Raw genomic sequence first — 12,521 nt, forward strand, 5'->3', positions numbered from 1 at the left:
GACACCCTTAGTGAGGGGTGGACAGAGAAAGTTGCACTTATGCACTACGCAGCCCCTAACACTGGTAGTAGATGTCACATTGTTAAAAAGGGGGAAAGAAACATTAAGGGTGGACTTGAGGGGCAGCCTGTCTGGAAGTTGGTTATGGGCTGCCTGTATATATGCCTAATATTTTTAGCTCTAGTTGATGAAGTTACTGGCCTTTTTCTTAGACACAGCCCGAGTCATTTTCTCTCCAGTCTGATTGAAACCCCAAACCCTCAGATTTTTTTTTTTTTTTTTTTTTTGAGACTGAGTCTTGCTCTGTCTCCCAGGCTGGAGGGCAATGGTGTGATCTTGGCTCACTGCGACCTCCATCTGCCGGGTTCAAACAATTCTCCTGCTTCCCAAGTAGCTGAGTTTACAGGCACCCGCCACCAAGCCACCACGCACGCCCGGCTAATTTTTTGTATTTTTAGTAGACAGAGTTTTGCCATGTTGGCCAGACTGGTCTTGAACTCCTGACCTCAGGTGATCACCTGCCTCAGCCTCCCAGAGTGCTGGGATTACAGGCGTGAGCCACCATGCCTGGCCTGACTTTTTACTTTTTATTTTCTCCTTTCCTTCCTTCCTCCCTTCCTCCCTCCCTCCCTCCCCTCCCCTCCTCTCCCCTCCCCTTCCCTTCCCTTTCCAACAGGGTCTTGCTTTATCACCCAGGCAGGAGTGCAGTGGTGCAATCACAGCTCATTGCAGCCTCAACCTCCCACACTCCAGAGATCCCTCTGCTTCAGCCCCCCAAGTAGCTGGGACTATAGGTGCACACCACCACATTGGGCTGGGCTAATTTTTAAATTTTTAGTACAGACCGGGACTCACTATGTTACCCAGGCTGGTCTCGAACCTCTGGGCTCAAGCAATCCTCCCACCTCAGTCTCTCAAAGTGCTGGGATTACTGGTGTGAGCTATTGTGCTCAACCTAGACCCACCCGCCCTTCCTTCCTTCCTTCCTTCCTTCCTTCCTTCCTTCCTTCCTTCCTTCCTTCCTTCCTTCCTTTCCTTCCATCCCTTTCTTTTTTTGAGACAGAGTCTCGCTCTGACGCCCAGGCAGGAGTGCAGTGGTGCAATCTCAGCTCACTGCAGCCTCCGCTTCCTAGGTTCAAGCAATTATCCTGCCTCAGCCTCCCAAATAGCTGGGAGTACAGGTGTACACCACTACACCTGGCTAATTTTTGTACTTTTAGTAGAGATGGGGTTTCTCCATGTTGGCCAGGTTGGTCTCAAACTCCTGAATACAAGTGATCCCCCCACCTCGGCCTCCCAATGTGCTGGGATTACAGGTGTGAGCCGCCGCACCTGGCCTACTTTCTTATTTACTGAATAGCTGATACCCTCATGGCAGTAGCAGTCACATCCCGGGTGCCATGTGCTCAGCCATGAGGGGCCATTGGGAGCATCCTACCTGGGTCCGTCTGTCCTGGGAAGAGTCAGAGAGGTGAATCCAAGCCAAAATTTTGTAAAAGAATTGAGGGTTAGGCTGGGAGCAGTGGCTCATGCCTGTAATCCCAGCACTTTGGGAGGCCAAGGCGGGTAGATCACGAGATCAGGAGTTCGAGACCAGCCTGGCCAACATGGTGAAACCCCATCTCTACTAAAACTACAAAAATTAGCCAGGCATGGTGGCACGTGTCTGTAATTCCAGCTATGCGGGAGGCTGAGGCACAAGAACCCCTTGAACCCAGGAGGCGGAGGTTGCAGTGAGCCCAGATTGCGCCACTGCACTCCAGCCTGGGCAACAGAGTGAGACTCCATCTCAAAAAAAAAAAAAAAGACAATTCAGGGTTAATGTCAGGTGCACAGAAAACCAAACGCAAACAATGGGGTCAGGGCAGGAATGAAGCTGAGGAGAGCAGCCAGGGATTTGGAGTTGTGTTGAGAGGAGATTTGAGTTGGACATGAGGTTTGAAATGAGAGGGGAGGGTCAAGGAGAACACTGGAAGTGCCTTTGGGACCTGGTTTTTAAGTGTTTTGAGCTACAGAGTCCAGTTGCGTCCCAAAAGGTTTGTTTCGGGTTTGCTATTCCCCGTGAAGCGTGGCAGTGTCTGTTGATGGGCACTTTCGCCAACACTCATTCTCACCATTAAAAAATGGCATCTCATGAAGACTGTGGGCCTGGAGGGTCTTCCCGTCTAGGGGCATGTAGGTGCCTGGGGGCTTCCCCAGTGCTCAGCGCATGGCAGGGCCTCCGTGGCCTCAGCAGGAATCTCTGCAGGTCATCACTAACCATGACTCCCAGGCTGTGCAGAGAGAGGCGTGGAGGTCAGCCCTCTGGGACCTTACTCAACTGTCACTCTAGGGACAGAGTGAGCATCCTCTCTTGGGGTAACTGGCTGGACGTCGGGGCTCCTCTCCAAAACCAGAACCAGAAGACCCTGATCTGATTTTGGGAAAAGCTGCTTGGCGGGGTGGTCACTGGCTCTCTCCTTTCCATGTTCACAAGCACAAGATGGAGACCCATAAACACCCTCCCAATCTGCGGAGGTGTCGTGGGGCAGGGAACGCACGCTAGTCAGGTAGAGAGACAGAAGAGCCTAATGCACATGCAAGGATCCCTCAGAGGTGGGCAGAAGATGGGTAAAAACGTGAAATCTGATGAGAAACAGTGTCCACGGCCCTTCCTGCTCCTGGGGTTACTCCCTGACCCTGTCCCACACCCACCCTTTAAGAGACAGGAGCAGGCTCTACCATGGAGATGAGTCCCAGCCACAAAGAGGTGAACGAGAGTCACTCAGAGCCTGCACAAAGGCTCAACAGAGTAAACTGGCCTCTGGGGCCCTGAGATGCATAGGAAGTTGCTCCCAGGGAGTGGTGTCTGAGTGAGAACATTGACTTGGGGAGATTCGAGAAGGGGAGGGCATTCTCCATACACTGGCACCTGCCCCTCTTGGGGAGCTTTGAGAAGGGAAGAGCATTCTCCATCCATTGGCACCTGCCCCTCTGGGTGCAGAAGAGGCATGACACAGTTCTCTTCTGTTTTTTGTTTGTTTGTTTGTTTTTTGATACCGAGTCTCACTTTGTCACCCAGGATGGCACAATCTTGGCTCACTGCAACTTCCGCCTCCCTGGTTCAAGCAATTCTCATGCCTTACCCTCCCAAGCAGCATGTGCCAGCATGCCTGGCTAATTTTTTGTAATTTTAATAGAGATGGGGTTTCGCCATTTTGGCCAGGCTGGTCTCAAACTCCTGGCCTCAAGTGATCCACCCGCCTCGGCCTCCCTAAGTACTGGGATTACAGGTGTGAGCCGCCATGCCAGGCCCAGTTCTCTTCTGATGTTGGGCAAAGCCTACTTCTCCATCTAGTGATTCTGATGTGTCTGGACACCAGGAATTGCAGTGTGTCCCATCCCAGGCTGAAACAGAGAAGGACACCTGAAACCCACGATCCAGCACGTAGGAGTCCGGGGCTACCTTGGGGGTCCAGAGCCCCCACTTATACACTCGAAGGGTGGTGTAGTCGAACTGAGAAAGTCCGGCTGAAGCTGACTACCCCACCAAGGCCATCATATATCATAGAAACCCTCACCACCAGACAGACCCAGGTAACAAAAGTAACTCATGGAGGTCAAGGCTGCAGTGAGCTATGATCGTGTCACTGCACTCCAGCCTGGGCAATAGAGGGAGACCCTGACTCTATTTAGAACAAAACAAAACAAAAAAACTCGCATTTATTGAGTGCTTACTATGCACTGGGCATAAAGTAGTAATTATCACAACAATGTGCTGAGATGGTAACAATTATGTCCCCGTTTTACAGATGAGAGCACTGAGGTCCAGCAAGGTTAGGTAACTTACTTGGTGCAAGCTCACATGGCTGTGGGAAACCCAAGCCCAACTCCAGTGTGTGCCCTCTTAGGGGTGCTCCATTCCGTCCAGGGCAGCCACCAGTACTTGTAAAGCATTGGACCAGGTGGAAAAAGACCAACAGTAAAGCCACCAGTGCAGTGACATGCCGAGGTGGGATGTAGCGGTTTCCCTGGGGCCACTACCTGCCTGAGCAACTCTCCCCACACTCCCTGCGGGCCCCTCCATAGTCACATATGGTGCCGTCAAGGAAGGGGGCTGAGGAGCAGGAGAGTGGACACCCGGATCTAGACAGTGATCGAGGCTTTAATTCCTGCTCTGGATTAAAAACGACTGGACTGCACTGAGACTTTCAACGTGGACCAAATGAATGGACTGTGGTCAGCAGCCTGGGGGCTCAGGACGGGGAGCAAGGACTCAGAAAGGGAGGCTCCTCTGTCATCTGTTCCTAACTCAGCTGCTGTGCACCCCAGCGCAGTGTGGAGGAGGGAGGAGGTCAGGCTGGGAGAGGCGGCCACGTGCAGGGGCAGTGCTGGCCCCGGGTGGCAGGGACCCTGGAGCAAGGCTGTGGCTCCTCTGATTTGAAGGCTGTGGCTGACACTCCACAGAGCCCCGTCCTGTGCCAAAGTAACCAGAGCAGAGGCCAGCCTTGGTGCTCCCTTCCGCTCCCGTTCCGGAGGGCTGGCTGGCTGATAGCTGAATCCCTCAGATGAAGTCATCTGTTTTGGTGCCAGGGAAGGGAAGGGCTGGGGGAGCCGGCGGAGGGGCCATCAGGGCCCGTGCTCTGTCTGCTTTTCCCAGGCTGGCGCCGCAGGGAGGAAAGCCTGGGTCTTGTCTGGGAGTGCCCATCGCTCGGGAGGCAGTGGGTGGGTGGCTCGAGGGCAGGGCCTGTGCATTGTTAGAAAATCAGGAAGGGAGAACAGGAGCTCGGTTGAAATGTCAGCGGGGCGGTGGGGGGTTGGCGGGGCGAGGGGGGTGGGGCGGGGCGGTCTGTAGGCTTCTTGCTAATGTTCTCTAGCTAATGTTTTGAATGATTTCCTCCGTGATCGGATGTGAGCACGCATCTTGGAAGACACACTGTCCTACAGTCTATGGAAGATGAAAAGGACTGAAAGGGCATTCAGCACTGTAAACACTTGGCCCTGCTGTCTGGCGCTTCTGTGATTTGTTGCTCTTTGAGGGAAGCCCTACGCAGTTTGCAAATTTTCTATCTAGACCTCAGCAAAGCTTGGATTTTTCATAAATTCTATCTTGTCAAATGGAATCTGGGTGTAGGTCTGACATGTGCTATCAATTCTTATCATCAATGAATAGAATCAGATGCACTCAACATCTACTGAACTCACATGAGGTACTAGATATTGGGCTAACTACATTAACTTCCTCATGCTGTATTGTGCAATTATTATTTTTCTGTTTACCAGTGAGTAACTGAAGTTCAGAAAGTTCAATACCTTTCCTAATGTCATGTAGCTAGTAAGTGACACACTGAGCAGAGCCCAGGCTGACTGCATCCAAGTCTCTAACATCTTTCAGTGCTGTTCTCTTGGTACTCTTTTTTTTTTTTTTTTTTTTTTTGAGGGATCTCACTCTCACCCAGGCTGGAGTGCAGTGGTGCAATCTTGGCTCACTGCAGCCTCTACTTCATGGGGTCAAGTGATCCTCCCACGTCAGCCCCTGGAGTAGCTGGGACCACAGGTGTGCGCCACCACATCTGGCTACATTTTTTTTTTTTTTTGAGACGGAGTCTCACTCTGTCACCCAGGCTGGAGTGCAGTGGTGCGATCCCGGGTCACTGCAACCTCTGCCTCCCAGGTTCAAGCAATTCTCCTGCCTCTGTCTCCCAAGTAGCTGAGATTACAGGCACGCACCACCACACCTGGCTAATTTTTGTATTTTTAGTGTGGGGTTTCACCATGTTGGCCAGGCTGGTCTTGAACTCCTGACCTCAAGTGATCTGCCCACCTCTGCCTCCCAAAGTGCTGGGATTACAGGTGTGAGCCACTGCACCTGGCCCCAGTTATGTTTTTATTTTTTAAAGAGATGTGCGGGTGGGGGGAGGGTCTCTCTATGTTGCCCAGGCTGGCCTCGAACTCCTAGATTAAAGTGATCTGCTCGCCTCAGCCTCCCAAATTGCTTGGATTACAGCCGTGAGCCACTGGGCCAGCACGGTGCTGTTCTCTTCACTGATTATTATTAATATTTTTGTTTTGCCTCCACCTCCCTTGTTTTCCAAATTTGTGTCTTTCCTTTTATATACATTTTGAATGTACAACTTTTTACAGAATTAAACCCAATTGATACATCTTATCAACTTATCTTTGCTAAGGATTTCCACTTTCTAAGTGGTCAGAAACTGATTTCCACCCATCGTTTTTGCCAACTTCCTTCCTTAAATGCACATGGTGTAGTGCATGGGGCACTGGGCTGCCCCTCCGCAGACCTGGGATCCAGTGCGGTTTCTGGCCTCCCTCACAGTGTGGTCCTGACAATGTTCCTTTGCCTCTCCGAGCCTCAGTTTACTCATCTTCAGAGGTGATTTCCAAGGGCCTTGCCAGATCCATCTCCAGGCATGTGTGTGTGTGTTTGCAGGCGAAGGAGCTGTCATGGGCAGCTTGGCCTTCTGGCAGCTGTCTCATGGGCCCACAGCAGGGGCTGCTTTCCTGCGTCAGACCCAGCAGTGGCAGGAGGGTCTCCCCTGGGACGGCCTCACCCAGTGCGCAGCCTCCCGCTATCCCACCATTAGGCCACTCACTGCTGTGCTCCTTGGTTTGAATGTTTATTTGGGCCCTAGCTCCCCCTTGCTGCGAGAGGAAGGCCACAGCTGTAACCTCGTGTGCCTTTATTGCTGTAAACTGTCACGTTCTGCAAACAGGTCACAGAGAATTTGGAGAGTGGACATTCTTGTAGAGAAATTATGCAAAGAGAGGCTTTGCCTTCATTAATCTACTTTGCATTTATTTATTTATTTATTTGAGACGAGTCTCGCTCTGTTGCCCAGGCTGGAGTGCAATGGTACGATCTCGGCTCACTGCAACCTTCGCCTCCTGGGTTCAAGCGATTCTCCTGCCTCAGCCTCCCAACCAAGTAGCTGGGATTACAGGTGTAGGCCACCACGCCCAGCTAATTTTTGTATTTTTAGTAGAGACAGGGTTTCACCATGTTGGCCAGGCTGGTCTTGAACCCTTGACCTCAGGCGATCCACCTGCCTCAGCCTCCCAAAATGCTGCGATTACAGGCACAAGCCACCGTGCCCAACCCATTAATCTACTTTGCTTTTCAATTTTGTGTTATTGTTATTATTTTTGATAGAAATGATAACAGGAGGTGTAAGCACATGATGATGAGCGCCACCTTGGGGTTGGGGTTGGGTAAAGAAAGGCCTGATTTATTTATTTATTGAGACGCAGTTTCACTCTTGTTGCCCAGGCTGGAGGGCAATTGCGCGATCTCAGCTCACTGCAACCTCCGCCTCCCAGGTTCAAGCGATTCCCCTGCTTCAGCCTCCCGAGTAGCTGGGATTACAGGCATGTGCCACCAGGCCTGGCTAATTTTGTATTTTTAGTAGAGACGGGGTTTGTCCATGTTGGTCAGGCTGGTCTCGAACTCCCAACCTCAGGTGATATGCCCACCTCGGCCTCCCAAAGTGCTGGGATTTCAGGCATGAGCCACCGTGCCCGGCCTATTTTTTTTTATTTTTTACTTTTAATTGTGCTGCAAAACATATAACATGAAATTTATCTTCATAACCACTTTTGAGAGTACGGTTCAGTCGTGTTACATAGACACACATTGTTATGCAATAGGCCTCTAGAACTTTAACTTACAAACAAAAACTGTGTCTGCTTTGCTTGTTATTGAATGCTGACTCTATCCGAAGCATTGTGCTGACCACGAGGACCAAAAAGAAAAGGAAGCAATTGATCGCCAAGCAGAACTTCAGAAAAGATACAGAACTCTCTCAGCTTGTCCACCCCCAACTCCCACCGACACTGAGCAGGCAGGAGAGGTGGCACAGCAGGCAAAGTCTGCCACCTGGTGGCAGGAAAGAGTCACAGTCCACAAGGGAGGCTTCCAGTGGATCCCACAAAAGAAGTGGGGAACAGGAAAGCGGAAGAAGACATTTAGTGCCAGGTATGCAAAACAGCAGGAACTGTTGGATAAATGGAAGTGAAAAAATATTTTTCGCCGGGCACGGTGGCTCACGCCTGTAATCCCAGCACTTTGGGAAGCCGAGGCAGGTGGATCACCTGATGTCAAGAGTTCAAGACCAGCCTGGCCAACATGGTGAAACCTCGTCTTTACTAAAAGTACAAAAAAAATTAGCTGGGCGTGGTGGCGCATGCCTGTAGCCCCAGCTACTCAGGGAGGCTGAGGCAGGACAATCGCTTGCACCCAGGAGGTGGAGGTTGCAGTGAGCCAAGATTGCGCCACTGCACTCCAGCCTGGGCGACAGAGGGAGACTCTGTCTCAAAACGACAACAACAAAAATTTTTAAAGAGACACATTTGGATAATTTTAAAATTATTTTTTGTTTCGCAGGGCATGGTGGCTCACGCCTGTAATTCCAGCACTTCAGGAGGCCGAGACAGGTGGATCACCTGAGGTCAGGAGTTTGAAAGCAGCCTGGCTAACAGGGAGAAATCTTATCTCTATAAAATATACAAAAATTAACCGGGTGTAGTGGCATGCTACTCGTGCTGGAATCACAGATATGTGCCACCGTGCCCTGCCAAACAAAAAATAATTTTAAAAGGCTGAGGCATGAGAATCATTTGAGCTGGGAGGCTGAGGTTGCAGCAAGCCAAGATCGCACCACTGCACTCCACTCTGGGCGACAAAGGGAACCTCTGTCTCAAACAAGACAAAACAAAACCCATGAAAAAACAATGAGATACCACTACACACCCACCAGAAGGTGAAAATGTAGAAGACAGACAATGCTGAGTGTTTGTGAAGATGTGTGGCAAATGGAGCTCTCCCTCTTTGCTGATGAGAATTAAATTGGTGCGAACAACTTGGAAACTTCAGGTATTTACTAAGAAATCAGTGCATGTATTTAAAAAAAATACGTGTACAAAAAGGTTTATAGCAGCTTTTTTTTTTTTTTTTTTCCTGGCAGAGTTTTGCTCTTGTTGCCCAGGCTGGAGTGCAATGGCATGATCTTGGCTCACTGCAGCCTCCACTTCCTTGGTTCAAGCAATCCTCCTGCCTCAGCCTCCCAAGTAGCTGGGACTACAGGCGCCCGCCACCACACCCAGCTAATTTTTTTGTATTTTTAGTAGAGACGGTGTTTCACCATGTTGGCTAGGCTGGTCTTGAACTCCTGACCTCAGGTGACCCACCCACTTTGGGCTCCTAAAGTGCTGGGATTACAGGCATGAGCCACCGCCCCCTGCCAATAGCTCTATTTTTAATAACCAAAAAGTGGAGGCAAGCCAAATGCTCACCAATAGGAGAACAGATACATTGTGGTATAGACAGTAATAAAAAAGAATGAACTGCTCTTCCACAAACAGAATGAACCTAATAAACATAACCTTGACCAAAAGAAACCAGTCACACGAGACTGCACACAGTGTGATTCCATTAACACCAAGTTCAGCCACAGACAAAATTCACTGATGGTCACAGAATTTAGAGTAGTAGTTGTCTCTGGTAGGGTTAATGCCTGAGAATGGCATGAGGGACTTTTCTGGGGTGGTGGGAACATCTGATACCTTGATCTGAGTGTGGTACGTATGTTGTGCAGCACATTACATGTGTGTATGTATGTACACACGTTCGCACATGTACATATATAAATCTTTCCCTGCACTCTTCCTTCCAAACAATTGCCATTTTTGTAATTATTAGCTTGTTTATTTTTATTTATTTTTTAGTTTATCATCTCTACTATGCTGTAAACTCAAAGAGGACAGACCTCCAGGCTTTTTGGAGGGTGTCTACTTACATAGTAGGCGAGAATTATATGTTTGTAAGAAGAATACCTGAATGAATGAATAAATGAATGAATTTTGGCATTTTGGGATGCTCTAGAGGGAATAACACTACTCAGAATTGCATGGAATGGTCAGCAGTAGTGTTCATCAGAAAGCTTTTTGAAAAATTTTTAAATTATTTTTAAATTAAAAAAATTTTTTTTGAGACAGGGTCTTGCTATGTTGCCTAGGCTGGTCTTGAACTCCTAGGTTCAAGTGGTCCTCCCACCCTGGCCTCCCAAATGCTGGGATTACAGGTGTGATCCATCTTGCACAGCCCCATTGGGAAGTATTTTTTTATCCTTTCATAGATAAAGAAACAAAAGTATCAATTAGTAAGCATCTAGTTTGTTTCAGGCCCTGTGCTTTGCACATGTGTCATTTAAGCTTCATAACAATCCTTGGGGATAAGCATTGTTTCCTCAAATAGGAGGAGGAGCTGAGATTTAGAGCTCATAAGTCATCCAAAGTCACACCGGAGGGCTGAGGACGGAAGGTGTGCAGGTGATTTAGGCACTCCATTTTTGCCGTTCCTCCTTTGCCCTCTGGTCTCTGTGCTCCCTTTGGTATTCCTGGAGAGAAGGCCAGAGCCTTGTTCACACAGCTCCAGAGGGAATGGGGCACTCCCTGGGGCAGTGTGGGGACTTCATCTCTACCTTCCCACGGGCCGAGCACAGTGCCTGGCACACAGCGAGTGCAGGGTAAACCCTCTAGGAGTGAATGGAAAAGCTGTGATGATATGAAAGAATATTATTACATGTTCCCCCTTCCTATACTTACTCATCTTTCACAAACGTGTAGATTAGAAGCTGCTTGAGGGCAGAGTCTTGGTGCAAGCTTCTCTGTGTGGCGCTCTGTGGTAGGCCACAGCAGCTGAAATATCCCAGTGGAGTAGGAGTTGGCAAATTGCACCCTGTGGGCTAAATCTGACAACTGTCTGTTTGTATAAATAAAGTTTTATTGAAACACGGCTTCACACATATATTGTCTACAGCTACTTTGACTCCATCACAGAGTTGAGTAGTTGTGATGTGGACTGCATGCCCTGCAAAGCCTACAATATTTACTCTCTGGCCTTCACAGAAAAAGTTTGTTGATCCTTACAATTGAGATTCCCTTTGTGGATTCAGCTTGTCTCAGCCTCTTCGAGATGAACGTTGCTGAGAGTGGGGTGGCAGGTGCTCCGGTGAAGGAGGAAGTAACCAGCAGTAGACAAGGGCAGAAGCCTATAAAGCTTGACCTCCCCCACCTCATAGTTTACTCATTGTTGCCCCAAACTTACACAACTCAAGACAGGGATCCCAGGATGAAGTCGCGGGGTACAGGCGTTCCCTAAGCCTAGCTGGTTGCACCTCTCTACCAAAATAATAGTAATCCAAACGCAGCATTTCATGAGGCTGAGGCAGAAGGATCACTTGAGGCCAGGAGTTTGAGACCTTCTTGGGCAACATAGTGAGACCCTCCCCCCATCTCTATAAAAAATTAAAATTTAACCAGGCATGGTCGTGCACACCTGTAGTCCTAGCTACTCAGGAGGCTGAGATGGGAGGATTGCTTGAGCCCAGAGGATTGAGGCTGCAGTGAGCCATGATGGTGCCACTGCACTCCAGCCTGGGTGACAGAACAAGACTCTGTCTCTTAAAGAAAAAAATCCTGGGAGAGGTGCTGTCCATCTCTCCCATCCCTACAATGAGTTTCTTGCCACGCCAGAGGGTGGCAGAATCTGAAACCTAGACGATCTCAACAGGTTGGCATGAGAGGCCAAGTCTAATAAAATGAAGTCAAACTGGGATAAATGGAAGGTTGCACCCTCAGGTAAAACCAAAATCAGTACCATAAGCATCCATTTTGGGAAGGTAAAGGTTAATTACCATCTTTGAGACAAAGCATGACTGGCTTTTGTAGATGGAAAATTCATATGAGTAGTCAGTGGTGTGAACTCCCACAAAATGAGTTTGGTCTCAAGCTGTATTCATGGAATTTTGGAATCTGAGATTAGAGACAAGAGCATCCCATTCTTTCTCTGTCTTCGGGCAGGACCAGATGTGAAATATCCTGCTTGAAACAAATGGGAGTGCAGCAGGAGTGGGGGCCGCTCAGACACAGCTCTGAGTAGTGTCCTGGGAATCAACGCAGCTGGGTGCTTTAGCCTGGAGATCGGAGCAGAGTGAGGGCTGAGAAGAGGAGCGAGCTCACTTGTCTTGGGAGGTCCCCAGGGTTGGATGTGGAATATGTGTCCTGAGGTTCTCGGCAGAAATTGCAATGTCCATCTCTCTTCCCTGGAAGTTCGATCTTTGAGCCCATGAGTACTTTCTGGACACATTCCGGGCAGCAAGAGTTTGGGGAGATGGGGTTGGGATTAGCTTTTAATAGATGATAAAGCTTAGGCCAAAATAATCAACCTGGTTCTTCTTTTTTCACTGCATTCGAATGGAAAGAGCGCTAGACTGCGAGTCAGGACAGCTGCCTGGACTCCCAGCTCCCCTACTCACTAGCTATATGGCTTTGTATAGATCATTTTACTGTCTGAGCTGCGGTTTCCTTCTCTAAAAGAAAATGGAATAATGAACTCTGTCCACGTTATGTGAAAGCAGCTCATGAATCCTGCCGTGCTCTGTGGGTGAGGGCCTCGCTCAAGAGTGCTGTTGGGAGAGGCCTTCAGGTGCAGTTCCTCGGCTCCCTGGACACTCAGCTGGGGGCTC

The 12,521-nt window shown here is 49.3% G+C and overlaps 2 annotated features.

The window, feature by feature from the left end:
• Positions 5,949 to 6,466: an enhancer, noted in NCBI's record as "H3K4me1 hESC enhancer chr8:11814647-11815164 (GRCh37/hg19 assembly coordinates)". NCBI's record gives its function as "activates a minimal SCP1, AML or CMV promoter by ChIP-STARR-seq in primed H9 embryonic stem cells {active_cell/tissue: H9 hESC(primed)}" and the evidence as "EXISTENCE:reporter gene assay evidence [ECO:0000049][PMID:30033119]".
• Positions 6,467 to 6,982: an enhancer, noted in NCBI's record as "H3K4me1 hESC enhancer chr8:11815165-11815680 (GRCh37/hg19 assembly coordinates)". NCBI's record gives its function as "activates a minimal SCP1, AML or CMV promoter by ChIP-STARR-seq in primed H9 embryonic stem cells {active_cell/tissue: H9 hESC(primed)}" and the evidence as "EXISTENCE:reporter gene assay evidence [ECO:0000049][PMID:30033119]".

This window comes from Homo sapiens, chromosome 8, assembly GCF_000001405.40.
Source record: "Homo sapiens chromosome 8, GRCh38.p14 Primary Assembly".
Taxonomy (NCBI): domain Eukaryota; kingdom Metazoa; phylum Chordata; class Mammalia; order Primates; family Hominidae; genus Homo; species Homo sapiens.